The sequence below is a fragment of the Homo sapiens genome, chromosome 15 (genome assembly GCF_000001405.40).
Source record: "Homo sapiens chromosome 15, GRCh38.p14 Primary Assembly".
In the NCBI taxonomy this organism is placed as follows: Eukaryota; Metazoa; Chordata; class Mammalia; order Primates; family Hominidae; genus Homo; species Homo sapiens.
This window is the reverse complement of record NC_000015.10, coordinates 67,221,201-67,238,561: the sequence shown is the minus strand read 5'-3', so window position 1 is coordinate 67,238,561 and position 17,361 is coordinate 67,221,201. Positions and strand designations below refer to the sequence as shown.

General features: G+C 38.7%; 1 protein-coding gene and 1 pseudogene across 6 annotated transcripts in view; one reads left to right on the top strand and one right to left on the bottom strand.

Annotated features, from left to right (window-relative positions):
- AAGAB (alpha and gamma adaptin binding protein) overlaps positions 1 to 17,361 on the top strand; it is a 54,532-nt gene that overhangs the window by 16,637 nt on the left and 20,534 nt on the right. For 3 of the 6 annotated variants that reach the window (NM_001271885.2, NM_024666.5, NM_001271886.2), the window contains exons 2-5: positions 1,742 to 1,932; positions 2,058 to 2,154; positions 2,494 to 2,583; positions 6,665 to 6,748. In NM_001271885.2, the coding sequence (NP_001258814.1) occupies positions 2,121 to 2,154; positions 2,494 to 2,583; positions 6,665 to 6,748 (208 nt within the window). In that variant the 5' untranslated portion in view covers positions 1,742 to 1,932; positions 2,058 to 2,120. Of the gene's footprint in view, positions 1 to 1,741; positions 1,933 to 2,057; positions 2,155 to 2,493; positions 2,584 to 6,664; positions 6,749 to 7,229; positions 7,333 to 11,611; positions 11,662 to 17,361 lie in introns of all 6 variants that reach the window. The other 3 variants (XR_007064489.1, XM_024450053.2, XM_024450052.2) reach the window with 3 other exon arrangements.
- RPS24P16 (ribosomal protein S24 pseudogene 16) lies at positions 5,653 to 6,155 on the bottom strand (annotated as a pseudogene).

Here is a 17,361-nt window from a genome sequence, read left to right as displayed (position 1 = left end):
CCAGTATTCAGCTCTTAGAAACACAGCCACGTGTTACTATGCCACCTTCTTGAAGTTTGGAGTGTAACAGTGTAGACTTTGATCTAGTTTTTGTTTTTCTGTGAGACATTTACATGAAAACAACATCTTTGATTTTAATAACTTACCTGTTTCTCCTGTTTATTTCCCCTGAAATTGTCTTAATGCTCCATAAGGGACATAGCAGCTGGTTGCGATGGAATTGACTGACACTAAGTAAAAGATTATGACTTCGGGTAGAAATTAAGTAGAAAGAACTGCTGATTTCTTAAAGAGATGGGATGCACTCAGATTGTCAAATATTGACATAGACCTTCTGTTAATTTAAGAGTAACAATTCTGGTTTTGGTGAAAAAATTTTAAAAGTTAATTTCATGATATGCTTTATATCAAAAATAAAACCTTAAATTTATTTTAAATTTAATTTTTTTGCTAAAAAAAGGGCCGACCTTTTATTCTTCAGAAGATTCGTTCCTCTTAACTGCATGATGAAACTTTACTAATAAAAAGAATTCATGCATGTATATATTCATACACACACACTTTATACATAATGCCTAGCAGTCTTTTGGACTAAATAATTTCCCCATAACTTTATGTTGAGCAAAAATGATGGCAACTTTTCAAATATATAATGTTAGCTCTGGGAGTTAAAATTTAATTTCTAGTTTTCAGTGTCTTGCTAATTATGAGTTTGAGGCACATTTCATTAATACGTGTTCATCTTAGTATGCATTGACGAGGAGTTTGTGACTGTTTTTCATTATATTCTTCTGATAAGTCAATTAATGGCATGTCATTTTACTTCTATAAGCTGATTTTCCACATTTGTATAAAGTGGAGGTTATGGGTATGGGTGTGAGAGACGGGAGTTTAGGTTGGAACAACTTCTAACTTCTCTTCCAGTTGTAAATACTGTATAACATAATGGAAGCAAAATGCTTCCATGGCTCCATAACCATGTCTATATTCATTTGTTCACCATTGACTTGTCTCTTACTGTGGGGATTTCCTGTTATATACATGCTGCACATAGATTTCCAAAAGATTCAGTTATAATCTAAAACATTTATAGTAATTTGCTTGGCTATTACACATTTAAAATTTATCGGAAGTGTCTTGATCAAACAAGAATTTAGGTTGGCTTTCAAAGAATGTGAACAAGGCTGAATATAAATAGGATTGGGGTCATTTATCAGTATCCATTCTTTTATTTCATTAGCTGAATTAATGTCTAAGCATTCAGTCCAAGAAATATATGTAGCTCTTCTATTTTATTAATGGTTTAGCCTTAATCCTATCTTCCTTTTAGTTTGCAATAAGTACAAAATAGTTACAAATTCTAGAAGATTGTTATTGTCTACCTCCTATGAAGTACTTAAGCAATACAATAAATAGAGCTGTCATTCTTTGTCTTCTACTTGCTCTTTTCTGGATATTTGGTTATATGACTGTTTTTTCCTTTACTACTGTCTAATCTAGTTCACAATGATTTTTGTGTTCTTAAAGAGAAAATGTCAATGACTTAAATTATATCACCATAACTTTTATAATCAGATGATCAGAGAATATAGGATTAAAGCTAATAAATGCAGGGTCCTTTGAAATCCTCACATAAAAGGAAACAGCAAAAGTACCAGCTTTATCTGGTATCTGACTGAGAAAATCAACCAATGTATATTGGTTTTGCACTTTACATGGTAATGTTGTCATTTATTTTTAGATATCCTTGGAACAGAAGATCTTATTGTGGAAGTGACTTCCAATGATGCTGTGAGATTTTATCCCTGGACCATTGATAATAAATACTATTCAGCAGACATCAATCTATGTGTGGTGCCAAACAAATTTCTTGTTACTGCAGAGATTGCAGAATCTGTCCAAGCATTTGTGGTTTACTTTGACAGCACACAAGTAAGACTTTGTTTTCTATGAAGGCTTGAATAAGAAATTATTGCATGCCTTCTTTTTTTCCCATTACATTTTGTCTGACTATCTCTTTTCTGTTTTTGTTTGTTTATATTTTTTGTTCCCTCTAGAAATCGGGCCTTGATAGTGTCTCCTCATGGCTTCCACTGGCAAAAGCATGGTTACCTGAGGTGATGATCTTGGTCTGCGATAGAGTGTCTGAAGATGGTAAGGCCTGTGGATGGGACAGTAGTTGGTACATGCATTTGCCATTCCTTGATAAACAGAGTACATCTGTTTCTTTAACTTAGGACATACATCCCATGTGACTTTATGGCTTTATGAAAATATTTTCAGCTATTTTTCTTTGGAATCTTGTAATACTTACTTTTTTTTTAAGAATGGATACTTCGGGGCTGAGAAGTCATTTTCTTTTTATTATTTTAGATGCCTTTAGAATAACATTGACATTAAGGGAAACACATTGAGATTTGTGAAGAATATTGCAGGAATAGTCATGTTTTATTTTCTTTTTACTTATGAAGATTCTTTTGCATATTATTTTAGGTATAAACCGACAAAAAGCTCAAGAATGGTGCATCAAACATGGCTTTGAATTGGTAGAACTTAGTCCAGAGGAGTTGCCTGAGGAGGATGGTAAGTGTTTATGTGTTAGGAGAAAATATGGCACTTAGATATGAGAGATTATTTTAATTCAGGGAAGAAGAATCACAGCAAAATTCAAGAAACTTTTTTCCCCAGCTGTTTCAAGGATTTAAGCAAAATCCATTGATGTAATCTTATAATCTTACACTTAGTGTAATAATTCATTTTTTTGGTTTTACCACCTGTTTTAGAACTTTTGAAAATGTGTGTTTTTCTTATGGATAAAGGTATAGGGCTGCTTTCTAAAATCTTTGTCATTTCCATAATCCTTTTTCCTTTCCCTACTGCTGAAGAAGGAGAGTTAGACCTTCGTAGTAGTTAAAGTTGATGTTTCTTATTTTGAATTCATAGTAACCTAAGGCTGAATTCCCAAGAATCGCAGGGGACATTTCAAATCCATTTGAATGTCTTTTGGACATTTGAAGCCAAAAGATAGACCCCAAATTTAATCCCCCACCTCCACCCCAGGTAGCTCTGCAATCGCTGTCCTCCGCTATTGCTGGACCTTCTATTTCTTCCCCTCTTCTACTCCCCTTCCCCATTTCTTTTCTCATCTTTTCTCCTTTGAAGTACACCTGTTTTGGTATCTACCAGGATAAGAGGGTTTTTGGTTCACCAAAACCTTATAATCTGGTACAAGAGATGAAACTTACAGATAATTGAATTACCAAGTGGAATGTCATAAGTATTATAGAAGAAATAGTAGTGCTGTGGTATTTTAGAGACCGGAGAGCTTATTTTTGTTTAAAAGTGCAGAGAACGTGTTGGCATTGTGACCTCTCACATGTCAGCTGCTCCATGGGGAAGAAGTTAGAAAAGGTCCTGGGCTTGTAGTGAGAGGACTGCTGGAGAGGTGGCATTGTGAATATGCCAGTTGTTCCAAAAGACATTCTGGGCAGGGGCAACCAACGTGAATTAAAGTACATAGATAAGACATAAGCAGTCATTTCAAGAAACTTGTATTTTTCTTCAAGGAATTAAGAAATATTTTTCTATATTCTGGTTTTATTTATAATTTTTCCAAAATGCTGTTACCTTTGAGAATAAAACCTGCTGGAGAAGAAGAGAACAAAACTGAAATAAAAACTCTGGTTTTTCTCCTTGCTCATTTTAAAGAGTGTTGAAAATTAGCATGTACATCTTTTTCTGTGTTTTTCTAGGTCCCTGAAACTTGTGCCCTGTTTTGTGTATGTGAGCCTGTGTGATTTCTGGCACTAGAATTTTCTCTTTCTCTTGTCCTTGGGAGTCAGTATTTGACTGTTATCATTTTGGAATCTCTGCTCCTTTATACTACTTTATTTCTCGTAGCCCTTTGTCTGAATAATGTTCTTGTATTCATTCAGCTTAATCTTAAAATGGGTTTTTTGATATGTCATCTTTAGGTAAGGTAATGAAAACCTTCCTAGACTTTTAAAATACAAATTATTCCTAAGCCATATTTCCTCATCTTTTACTTGCATGTATTATTCAAACATGAATATAGGACTTTATGCTAGTTTGTATTAATTTTCCTCTTACTGGTACTAGCTCTTCATTTCAGACCACATTTTTGGTTCCTGGTTATATCATCTAAAGTATTAGTTATTCTTTTGAGAATTAAGTCATTCACAATTAAGATAAACATGACTTTTAGGTCTTCATCCAGACATTGGTGGTGATAAACTTATCTTGGTAGAGTATTTTCTTTCTTTATTTTTATTTATTTATTTATTTATTTGAGACAGAGTCTCTCTCTGTTGCCCAGGCTGGAGTGCAGTGGCACGATCTCTGCTCACTGCAAGCTCCACCTCCTAGATTCACGCCATTCTCCTGCCTCAGCCTCCCAAGTAGCTGGGACTGCAGGCGCCCGCCACCACGCCTGGGTAATTTTTTTTTTTTTTTTTGTATTTTTAGTAGAGACGGTGTTTCACCATGTTAGCCAGGATGGTCTCAATCTCCTGACCTCGTGATCCACCTGCCTCGGCCTCCCAAAGTGCTGGGATTACAGGCATGAGCCACCGCGCCCAGCAGAGTATTTTCAATTTAATCACTATATTTCTGTTAGGTTGGCAGGTTGGTATTCTTTAAATGATTCATTGATCCATTAAACAGTTGCTGAGTGCCTGCTGTTTTTCAGGCACTGTGGTAGGCAATGGGCATATGAACTCAGTAAGACAAGATTCCTGCCGTCAAGGAGTTTTCAGTGTAGGGGGAAGGTTACATTAGTAAATCATCAATTGCAGTGCATCTTTCCTCTAGGAGAGATGTGCATAGAGTGGTATTGTTTCCACTTTCTGTGAGAATGGTGTAAGTGATTTGCCCTTGATCAAATAGCTAGTAAGTGGCAGAGCCTGGGTTCAAATTCAGATATTCTGACATGTAACTCTGTGCTCTTCTTGTTAAACCACCCAGGGCTAGGCTGGCCACTAGAGACAGGGTCTGTGTGGATTATGTTCTGTAAACTCGGGAAACTTTCCTTTTTTAACCACATGAAAACTATTTCTGTCATTATTTTCCAGACGCAGCCTTACAATCCTCAACATCTGCAGGATCCCCATTTCCTTTGTACACGATCATTCCTGTGTTGTAGTTAAGAATACCACCTTTTTTGGTACACTATGGGATTACAATCCCATTATTTTGAGTAGTATCAGTCAAATTCCAGAAGCAGGATAGTACTAATAATAAACTAAACTAAGTTGTCGTAATGACCCTTTGCCTGTCTCTTACACTTCTAGTCATTTCACTTCTCACTCAAACTATCTTTCTCTGATCAAGAAGTTCTTCTATAGGTATCGATCAAAAATAACACTTATTATTCTATGGTTTCCAGCACAGGATAGAGCATTTACATGATTTTATAACATACTGTTAATAAGAGGACTGTTCCTGCCTTCAGGAAACTCATTCTGTGTAGATTGGTATCTCTAGTACTGTGCCAGGAATGTGTGTAATAAGTGGAATCTAACATTTTCAGAATATAAATAGATTCCATTGGTGAGGATAACTTTATTATATAACTGCCTTATATTGTGTGTTTAATTGCTTTAGTTTCTAGAATATTCTTTTTTTTCCGCATGAAAGTTTTTAGTTTATTAATCTTCTCATGAAAAAGCCACAGTGGCCACTGATAACATCCTTGCAGCACCTTTGCTCCTTTGGCTTTTTGCCAGCACTAACACTGGCCTTTGCTGTCTGCCTACCTTCTTCATGCCGTTCTTACATTCCTTTCATTGCTTTCTCAAGGTCTTTTTCTTCTCACACAGGCCATGTCTTGTAAGTCTATGTTTGTGTTCATTTTTGTTTGCATAATCCAAGGAATCGTAAATTATGCCAAAGCCAGTAGTCTTGCCACCACCAAAATGAGTTCTGAACTCAAAGATGACATCTGGTGTGGTCTTGTACATTTTGGCTACTTTTTCCCGAATTTCTCTCTTAGGTAGTGTTGCCTTCCCGGGGTGAAGGACATCAATGACCATTTGTTTTCACTGAAGTAGTTGGTTGGTCATGAACTTTCCAGTTTGGATAGTTACCATGTCATTCATGATGGTGGTCAATCCTCAGACAGCCGAGGAAGAAAAGAGTTTCTCTAGAATATTCTTATTGAGAGCTCCAAGCTCTGTATTTGATTTTTTTCCTTGTATGATGTGAACTAACAACTAAATAAACAAGATAACAAAACCACAGTCATTTGAAAATATGGCTTGGAGGATATATACGTAACTTTTTTTTTTTTTTTTTGAGATGGAGTTTTGCTCCTGTTGCCCAGGCTGGAATGGTGCCATCTCGGCTCACCACAACCTCTACCTCCTGGGTTCAAGCAGTTCTCCTGCCTCAGCCTCCCGAGTAGCTGGAATTACATGCATGCGCCACCACGCCTGGCTAATTTTGTATTTTTTAGTAGAGATGGGGTTTCTCTATGTTGGTCAGGCTGGTCTTGAACTCCCGACCTCAGGTAATCTGCCCTCCTTGGCCTCCCAAAGTGCTGGGATTACAGGCATGAGCCACCGTGCCTGGCCACATTTTTGTGAATGTATATGTATATCTGTGTGAGTGTTGCATATAAATATATATATTTCCCCTCCCTGATTAGATGACTTCCCAGAATCTACAGGAGTAAAGCGAATTGTCCAAGCCCTGAATGCCAATGTGTGGTCCAATGTAGTGATGAAGAATGGTAAGTAACTTGGGACTCAAGTCATTTTTTTCCTCTTGTTCCTTGTAAGTTTTAAATTATTGAGATATATGTGGAACCATTAGTGCTATATGAAATCTGTAGATTTGTTCCAATTTCAGTTCGCTGATTGAAGGAAGCGCCAAAAGTAGCATTTCTAGGAATTTTTCATATACGTTTAATAGTTAATTCAGTAAGAATTTAGAGGTTGCTTGTAATACACCCAGCATTGTCTTTGGCTTTGAGAAGTACCTCCAAAATTATAAGACGTAGACCCTATTATTAAGGAGCTCCTAGTCCAGCTGTGAAATTCAAGCCTGTACTTTTCAAATGCCAGGGAACTATGCAAGGCAATCTGTGATGAGTACAGATGACTGATGCAGGCAGTAAAGTGCATAAAATCAGAAACATGGCTGTTGTGTTAGGCTTAAGTATAGAGAGAGAGCTTCAAGGAGAAAGTGTGTCCTGACAGTAGTTTTCACAGGAAGCTCAAGATTTGGACTAATGAAAGGGGAGAACGGCAAGTGGAGAAGGAAGCATGACATAGAGAATAACAGTTCTATGTTCTGACCAGCCTGGACAACATGGTAAGAGCCCATCTCCATAAAAATTAGCTGGGCATGGTGGTATGTGCCTGTGGTCCCTGCTACTTGGGAAACTGAGGAGGGAGAATTGCTTGAGCCCAAGAAGTCAAGGCTGCAGTGAGCTGTGGTCATGCCACTGCACACCAGCCTGGGCAACAGAGAAAGACCCTGTCTCAAAAAAAAAAGTTGTGTATTCTAGGGTCACTAAGAGAATATCACCTAGCATTTGGAGCTAGCTTAGAGAGAGGCCTGAATGCCAGTCAGGAGAGTTTTGGCTTTTTCCTGTAAAAATTGGTGAGTCACTGGAGATTTTTAAATAAGGGGTTGATGCAAAGAAGGTGGTGTGCAGGGAGGTTTGGCAATTGAAGAAAGTCAACATAGAGTCTGAAGTTAAGGGAGACCAGAGCTTTTGCAGCAGTTCAAGAGTGAGGTGCTGGGGCCCGGGGTAATGTAGTGGCAGTGGCCATGAGACAAAAGGCTGGATCTGGAGTGCAATCTGAAGAGGGTAGTGCACACTGGCCTCTTACTGTCTGTATTGGTTCCCTAGGGCTATGGTAACAAAGTACCACAAACCATATGACATAGAACAGCATGAATGCATTGTCTCATAGTTCTGAAAGCCAGAAGTCCAAAATCAGGGTGTTGGCAGGGCCATGGTCCCTCTGAAGGTGCCGGGGAAGGATCTGTTTCAGGCCTCTCTTCTAGCTTCTGGTAGTTCCTTAGCTTGTGGCAGCATAACTCCATCCTTCACATGAAGTTTTCCCTGGGTGCCTGTCTGTGTCCACATTTTCCCCTTTTTATAAGCACAACAGTCACATTGAAGTAGGGATCTACCTACTGCAGTATGACCTCATCTTAATATATCTGCAGTCAACCTGTCTCCAAATAGGGTCACATTCTAAGATACTGGAGGTTAGGACTTCAGCATACGAATTTGGTGGGGGATACAATTCAGTCCATTAACACAGTCTTTTAGGAATTGCTTCCTGTATAGGGTTTTTCTGTCTTACATCTCTTGGCTGCCTCAACAAGTATGCTGAGTGAGACACTACAGAAGGGAATGAGAAAAATCATATTTTACAGCCAGGTGAGGTGGCTCACACCTGTAATCCCAGCACTTTGGGAGCCTGAGGTGGGCAGATCACAAGGTCAGGAGATCAAGACCATCCTGGCCAACATTGTGCTACCCCGTCTCTGCTAAAAAAAAAAAATACAAAAATTAGCTGGGTGTGATGGCACGTGCCTGTAATCCCAGCTACTCAGGAGGCTGAGGCAGGAGAATCACTTGAACCAGGGAGTCAGAGGTTGCAGTGAGCCGAGATCGCGCCACTGCACTCCAGTCTGGCGACAGAGCAAGACTCCATTTCAAACAAACAAACAAAACCACACAAAATGAAAAATCATGTTTTACAGTGAGCTTACCCCATCTTCCGTGATAAAGGTCAAGTAGAAGACCGGTTTTATAAAAATAGAATATTTCACTTCAATTTTTGGTAGACCCTTGAGTGTTAAGTGAGATTGGCACCCTTTAGCTTTCCTGAGGTCTGATCTAACCCTTGTCGTCATTAGAGAAGCTCCTTCTGGCATAATAAGGTACTCCTTCCTCTCCTTTTCTTCCCCTCTCTCCATCCTCCTTCCTCCTTTTTTCTTTCTAGGAGGAATCTTATTGTGTCTGTTAAATTGAATTGCAAGGGTGCTAGATTCTATTTTATTGATGTAGCAATCTAGATAGATCTAGAAAGAACAAGGAGTTTTTTTGGGTTTTTTTTTTCCTTCTCCAACTCTTTTTTTTTTTTTTTTAAGACGGACTCTCGCTCTGTTGCCCAGGCTGGAGTGCAGTGGCACGATCTTGGCTCACTGCAACCTCTGCCTCCCGGGTTCAAGCAATTCTCCTGCCTCAGCCTCCTGAGTAGCCAGGATTACAGGCGCGCACCACCACTCCCAGCTAATTTTTGTATTTTTAGTAGAGACGGGGGTTTCACCATGTTGGCCAGGCTGGTCTTGAACTCTTGACCTCGTGATCTGCCCACCTTGGCCTCCCAAAGTGCTGGGATTACAGGCGTGAGCCACCCCGCCTGGCCCTCCAACCTTTATTTTAGGTTCAAGGAGCACACGTGCAGGTTTGTTACATGGGTAAATTGTGTGTTGCTGGGGTTTGGTGTGCAAATGATTTTGTCACCCAGCTCACAGGTAGTGAGCATAGTACCTGATAGGTAGTTTTTCAACCCTCACCCTCCTCCTACTGTCTCCCCTCAAGTAAGGCCCCAGTGTCTGTTGGGCCTCTTTTTATCTCCATGTGTATTCAGTGTTTAGCTCCCACTTATAAGTGGGAGCATGTGTTAATTTGTTTTTTGTTGTTGCTGCTTTTAATTCACTTAGGATTATGGCCTCCAGCTGTGTCCATGTTGCTGCAAAGGAGATGACTTTGTTCGTTTTTATGCCTATGTAGTATTCCGTGGTGTATGTGTACCACATTTTTTTAATCCAGTCCACTGTTGATGGGCATGTAGGTTGATTCTGTGTCTTTGCTATTGTGAATAGTGCTGTGATGAACATACACATTCATGTGTCTTTTTGGTGGAATGATTTACATTCCTTTGGGTGTATACTGAGTAATGGGATTGCTGGGTTGAATAGTAATTCTATTTTAAGTTCTTTGAGAAGTCTCCAAACTGCTTTCCACAGTGGCTGAACTAATTTACAGTCCCACCAGCAGTGTATAAGTACTTCCCTTTCCTCTGCAACCTCACCAACATCCGTTATTTTCTGACTTTTTAATCATAGCCACAATAAGGAGATTTTCATTTATGTGGTTATCTCTCTGTTACCAGAACAAATTCAAATTAAGGCTTGGTCCTTCTCATTCATCTATTTAGCAAATCCTTGTTGAGCATTTACCATAGGAAGGCTATAAAAATAAGATTTGGAACATAAACTGGATCAATTTAGAATAAAATTATATTCAATGGTGCTTGTTATATTTATGAGAACTATTTTCACAAAATTTTCTTTGGCTTTATTCACTTTTTGAAAAATCTGTGTCCCAAGTTCATATATTAAAGAACTATTGCCTTGTAATATACACTTATGGTTGTAAATTGAGAAGCTGGACTAAACATGCTTTATTACTTTGGAAGTGTGGTCAAATGTGTTTCCTGAAAAAATGCCATTTTACTTGTTTTAGACACTAAACAATATTCTTAAAAGAACTGCAAAGCAAGGAGGTACATTGTGGATTTTTTCATGGTTCTTTGCCCTGAGGTTTCCTCGCTTTCTTTTTTTTTCTTGACAGTACTGGTGCATTAGTTTGCTGTTAACCAAAAAACAAAATACTGCCATTAATTAGCTTAATTTCATGTTTAAGAGGATCCTGGTGTATGTGGTATGAAGATACAATGAATGACATTTTGATGCAACCCAGGTCTTAGGAAGTGTGAAGGATATCCTTTTAGAGCCCTGCATCTTATTTTAGAGACAAAGCTTTCTATGGATATATGGTGGGTCATACTACTCTTCCAGGGTAACCTACCTCCTATGCTGTTTTTAGAGCCTGCTTTGCTGGTGATCCGTCTGTGTGCCCAGTGAACTGTGCCTTCCTCAGCCTGCTTTTCTTGAATGTCCAAGTGTTGTCTGCCAGCAGGTGCTCAGACTGGTTTATTTGTTTTAGGGGTCTGTGTTTTTCCTACTCTTTTTTCTTTTTTATTTTCTCCCCTTTTCTCTTTTTAAAATTGTGGTTAAATATACATAAGATGTGGTTAAATATACATAAGATTTACCATTTAAAATATGCATTTCAGTGGCAGTAAGTGCATTCACATTGTTGTACAACTGTTGCCACTAATAAAAATTTTTAAACCAAAAAGTTTTTTTAATTAAAAAGTTGGTTGACAAAGTAAAAAAAAAAATAGAGGTATTGGTTACCTTTTTCAAGACATTAATAATGACCAATTTTTGTTGTTGTTTTGGTTCGAAAAATTACTGTAATCACAATTGATTCTTTGGGATTATTATATTGGGAAATTATATAATGCCAGTTGATTATTTGGGATTATGTATTGTCTAGTTAGTATTTATTGAGCAGTAATAGAACATTTACGTTATGTCATGCCACTAATTTTGTACAGTTGCAGAAAAATATTTGTTTGAAACTCTTTTAAAAATATTTAAATATGCTCAATTTGAAAAAACAATTCCAGCTCTTGTAAGGATTATGAACATCTAGCTGTTGCAACAAATGGCCCTGAAAACACACAAATCTAACTCAGGTTTTATTTCTTTGCAGTTTCTTGGACATTGATATTCAAAGGTCAAATATTTAATCTGAAAATCTAGGTAATTAAAAACGTAAGAGATGAATTGCATTCCTTCCTGCCCTCCACCCAGATAAATTGGATGTGTTATCTATATGGGAATTCATGATTTAATATGTGATTATTATAAGTCTGAACAACTTACTTGGTTATAGGATATCTTCATAACTTTTTTCCTTTAGTGTCTTCTTAAAAGTTAGTAATACACAAGCAACCAAAGGAAAAAAATAGATAAATTGGACTTCATCAAAATTAAAAATGTTCATACTTCAAAGGACACTGTCAGGAAAGTGAAGGATAAAAGATAACCCTCAAAATGAGGGAAAATATTTGTAAAACATGTATCTTATGAGGATCAGCAGAATATATCTAGAATATATAAAGAACTCTTACAACTTAATAATAAAAAGACAACTAATCCAGTATAAAAATGGTAAAGAATTTGGATAGGCAAGAAAATACACAAATGGCCAGTAAGAACATGAATAGATGCTTAACGTTGGCCAGGCATGGTGTCTCACGCCCGAAATCCCAGCACTTTGGGAGGTTGAGGCAGGAGGATTGTTTGAGGTCAGGCATTCAAAACCAACCTGGGCAACATAGTGAGAACTCTGTCTCTACAAAAAAATTCTAAAAATCAACCGGACCTGTAGTCCCAGCTATTGGGGAGGCTGAAGCAGGAAGGATCACTTGAGCCTAGAGTTCAGTGCTGTGATGATCTAAGATTGTGCCACTGTACTCCAGCCTGGGCAACAGAGTGAGACCCCAATTCGTATTAAAAAAAAAAAGAAAAGATGCTTGTCATCATTAGTCACCAGGAAAATGCAAATCACAACAATGAAATACCACTTCACACTTACTAGGATGGCTAGGGTCAGAAAGATAATAACAAATGTTGGTGAGGATATGGAGAAATTAGAAACCTTGTGCACTGATGGTGGGAATATAAAATGGTGCTGCAGCCACTTTAGAGAGTTTAGTAGTTGCTCAAAAAGTTAAACATAGAATTACCATATGACCCAGCAGTTCCACTCCTAGCTATATACCGAAGAGAACTGGAAACATGGGCACACAAAATAGTGTGTATAAGTGTTCATAGCAGTATTATTCATAAATGCCAAAAAGTGAGAAAAACTGCTGAAAACAAAATGTGGTATATCCATACAATGGACTGTTATTCAATCATAAAAATGAAGCATGAATATATGCTACAATGTGGATCAACTTCAAAAACATTATGCTAAGTGAAAAAAGCCCGACACGAGAGGCTACATATTATAGGATTTCATTCATATGAAATATCCAGAATAGTTAAATTCATAAAGATAGAAAGTAGATTAGTGGTTCCCAGGGTATGGGAGGAGAGGTTGCTCATGGGTATGGTATTTCTTTCTGGGGTGGTGAAAATGTTCTGGAATTAAATGGTGATGATGGTTGCACAACTTTGTGAATATACTAAAAACCACTGAATCATACATTTTTAAAAGGCTGGATTTTATGATATGTAAATTAAATCTCAATAAAAAGAAAGAAAAGAAGGAAATGATACCACCAATGATGATAATAATGGTAATAGTAGAAAAGGTGGTGGTGATGATAGAAAAGGGAGAAGTGGCAGTGATACTAATAGCAGCTGATAGTATACGTGCAAAATCTTATTTAATCCTCACAAAAGCCATATGAGTTAGGCTCAGTGGAGCCAAGTAATTTGCCCAAGGTCATATAGCTCATCAGTTCTCAAACGTGTTTGCACATTGGAATCACCTGGGAACTTTAGTCACCTGGGAAGCTTTTAAAACCTATGCTACCTGAGCCTCACCCAAGGGAGTGTCAGCTACAGTATTTTTTAAGTGCCTCCGGGATTCAAATATACAGCCATGGTTGACAACCACTGACATAAATGATAGTCTTCTAGTTCTAACTTGTAAGAGTCTGTGTTTAATCCATGGGAATAAATTCAGCATTTTGAAAGCCACATTAGCCCCTTGCCTGACCTTGCTTTCTCTAATTCCTAAATTATGTAGTATTGAAAAGTGACTTTTGGCCAGGTGCGGTGGCTCATGCCTGTAATCCCAGCACTTTCGGAGGCCAAGTTGGGCAGATCAGTAGAGGCCAGGAGTTTGAGACCAGTCTGGCCAACATGGTGAAACCTCATCTCTACAAAAAATACAAAAGTTAGCTAGGCGTGGTGGTGCATGACTGTAATCCCAGCTACTTGGGAGGCTGAGGCACAAGAATCACTTTAATTCAGAAGGCAGAGGCTGCAGTGAGCTGAGATCGCGCCACTGCACTCCAGCCTGGGCAACAGAGTGAGACTGCTCAAAAAAAAAAAAAAAAGAAAAGAAAAAGAAAAGTGACTTTTCAAGTCAGAGAAAGAAGACAGGAAGGACTATGTTTAATATGGAGTCATCTATAGGGAAAGGTGAAAATAGTGGACGTTCCTTCTCATAACTCCTCTGTACTTGTTTCTAGTATGGTCTAGTATCTCGCAAAGGTCAGCAGTGCTGTGACAGTCCTTCTTAAGATCTGAAAGAAATAATACAGCTTTTATAAGTACCTGATTATCTGGGAGCATAATTTAGGTGCTGAGTGTATCTGGGCCATTTGAGTTTTCTTCTGCTGGCCTCAGATCTCTCTAGTCCATAATTTAGGCTCCGGTTTCAAGTGTTGATTCATTCATACAAAAAATATTTCTTAAGTACTTGCTCTGTGCAAAGTATTGGTCTGTGTGTTTGGGATATATCAGTGAACAAATTAAACAAAAATGTCTGTCCTTAGGAGCTTTCATTCTGGTGGGAGACTATAGTCAATAAACAATACAAGCAATTAGTATGTTATATAGTGTATTAGGAGATGATAAGTGATTTGGGAAAATAATAAAGCAGAGTTAGGGACATTGAGATTGCTTTGTAGATTGCAATGTTAAATAAGGTGGTTCAAGGTAGGTCTTCTTGAGATTTGAGCAAGGAGATGAGGTGTTTCACCATGTGGATATCTGGGAGAAGAACATACCAGGGACAGGGAACAGCTATAGCAAAGGCCCTAAGGTGAGAGCACGCCTGGTGCATTTGAAGGATATCAGGACGCTTGCTGGCTGAGCAGGAGAGGTCAGAGAGGTAACGAAGGGCTAGATTATTTGGGGCTTTGAAGGCCATCATAATAACTTTGACATTTACTCAGAGTAAACTAGGGGACTGTTGCAGGTTGTTGAATGGGAAAGTGACATGATCTGACAAAGTCTAAAAAGATCACTCTGGCTGCTCTGTGGAGAGTAGATGATGAGGGTGAAGAGCAACCAAGATCTCTTAGGGGCCTATTACAATATTCCAAATGAAAGAGAGTGATGGCTCAGATTGGGGCTGGGGCAATGAAAGGGGTAAGAAAAGGTCGAATTCTAGGTATATTGTGAGGTAGAGCCAGCATGGTTTCCTGATAGTTTAGATATGAGATATGAGAAAAAGAGATCAGTCAAGGAAGACAACAGGATTTGGGCCTGAACACTTGAAAGATTAGTTGCCATCAACTGAAATGAGGCAGCTACAAGATGAAGCTAACAGGGTCACCTATCAGTAGTTCATTTTTGGACATGTTGAGTTTGACATGGCTACTGAGACCTCCAAGTGGCTGTTAGTCTTCCAAGTGGAGATAGCAGGTAGCCAGTTGGAGAGATTTTGGAGTTTGGGGAGAAAGGCATTTAAAACCTTGAGCCTTGATGAGATCACCAAGGGAGTGAATGCAGTACTTAAAGAAGACCAAGGACTCAGCCCAGGGACATTGCAACATCAAGAGACAGAGAGAAGAGAAGGAACCAGTAAAGGAGACTGAGGAAGAAAGGTCAATGAGGTAGGAAAACCAAGATAGTGGAGTCTTATTCGGGAAGCAAAAGTGAAGAGTGTTTCAAGGTGGAAGGAGTGGTCAGCTATGCCAATGCTGCTCATAGGTCAAGTAGGATGAGAACAGAGAGTTGACCCTTGGATTTAGCATTAGTGACCTTGAAGAGCAGTTTCAGTGAAATAGGTTGAAAGAGAAAAATTGAAGATAGTGATTATAAAACACTCTTGAAAATTTTGCAGGAAAGGGGAGCAAAGAAATAGGTGAGAGCTGGAGAGAAAAATGTGGTGGAGATTTTTATTGTTTGAGATGAGAACAAGAGCAGCGCGTTCATAAGCTGTTGGAAAAGTTCCAATAGAGGGTGAAAAATGGATGAAGTAGGAGAGAGAAGGGAAACTTGCCAGAGTGACTTCCTTGAGTAGGTAGAAGGGATGGGCTCCAGTGTACAAGTGGAGGGACTGGCTTTGCACAGGAGGAGGAAAATAAACCTAGAAAGACATGGGAAAGGGGGTTTGTGGATGCAAATGTGGCTCAGTGGGGAGATGTGTCATGAGAATCTGTGGAAGTTTCTTCTGATTGCATAAATTTTCTCAGTGAAGTAGGAGGCCAGGATGTCAGTTGAGAGGGCAGAAGGGAGGAGGTAGCGTTAGGATTTGAGGAGAGAGGAGAAAATGTGAAACAGTCATTTAGGGGAGAGAGAAAGAGTAAATGAACCTAGAGATGTGAAGTATGATTTGCCAGGCAGCATTAAGGGACCCAACTTGAAATTTGGTATTATAAAACTAAAGTCAGGCAGCATGGGTGGAGGGTGTGTGTGTGTGTGTGTGTGTGTGTGTGTGTGTGTGTGTGCGCGCGCGCGCGTGCGCGTGCATGCATGTAGTAATCAGTTCTGCTTTTGCTAAGCAAATGTATCACAGCAAGAGAGAGGCAAGGGATTCAGTAGTATATATAAGAGATTAATTATAATGATTGACCATGGAATTTAAGCTAAAAAGAGGAGAGTGGAAGTCAATTGGAGTGGGTCAGTAAAAAGATGGTAGTTTTGAGTCCTGGTGCAGTTGAAGGATAATTGGGTTAAGGTACTATAGGAACTGAGAGGGACTTGGAAAAATAGGTGATGCATGAAGTTGAGATGATGGAGGGGTTGTGGTTATTGGTAATAATAAGGTCTGGGTATGACCCTGGGAGTACATGGCTGCAGCAATGTAGAGGACAACATCCATAAAATGGAGGAATTCAATAAACTGAGACTCAGATTGCTGGAATGGTTGTCTATATATTGAACTTGCTAAAAATTAAGACACTTGCCTTCAAATAGTTTGTGTGAGAATATCAGTAGGCTCCTATATTCAGAGATTTTAGGAATGATTTAATCTAGTGATTCTCAACTGAGACCCAGGGGGGTATGGAAATACATATCACATGCTATACAAGCCCTCTGAAGACGTTGATTGCCTGGCTCCCATTGAGAATCACTTAACTATTAAGTGCTATTGCTAAGTGGTTGGTAGATGTGCCCTCAACTGCACTGGGTAGAAACTGTTAGGAACTTTTGAGCTAGTCTATTCATCCAGTACAGGAATGGCTTCTATAGCATCCTTGCCAGGATCATCCACCCTTTTTGGCGGAATGCTTTAAATAACAGCACCTTGTGAAGCAGTCCTAGAAGCAATTAATTGCATAGAGAAATCCAAGAACTGTTTTGTTCATTCTTAGCAGATAGAATATATTTTTATGCTGGTAGCTTAAGCACTTAAACAAGGAAAGGATATGTATTTTACTTTGTGTCATAATGCTGAGAACAGTGGTGAAAATTTTATCTGTCAATGATGTATTTTCCCTTGCTTCTACCTTGTTACTAGCTTTCATTTTGATGACTCTTTTTCCTAGT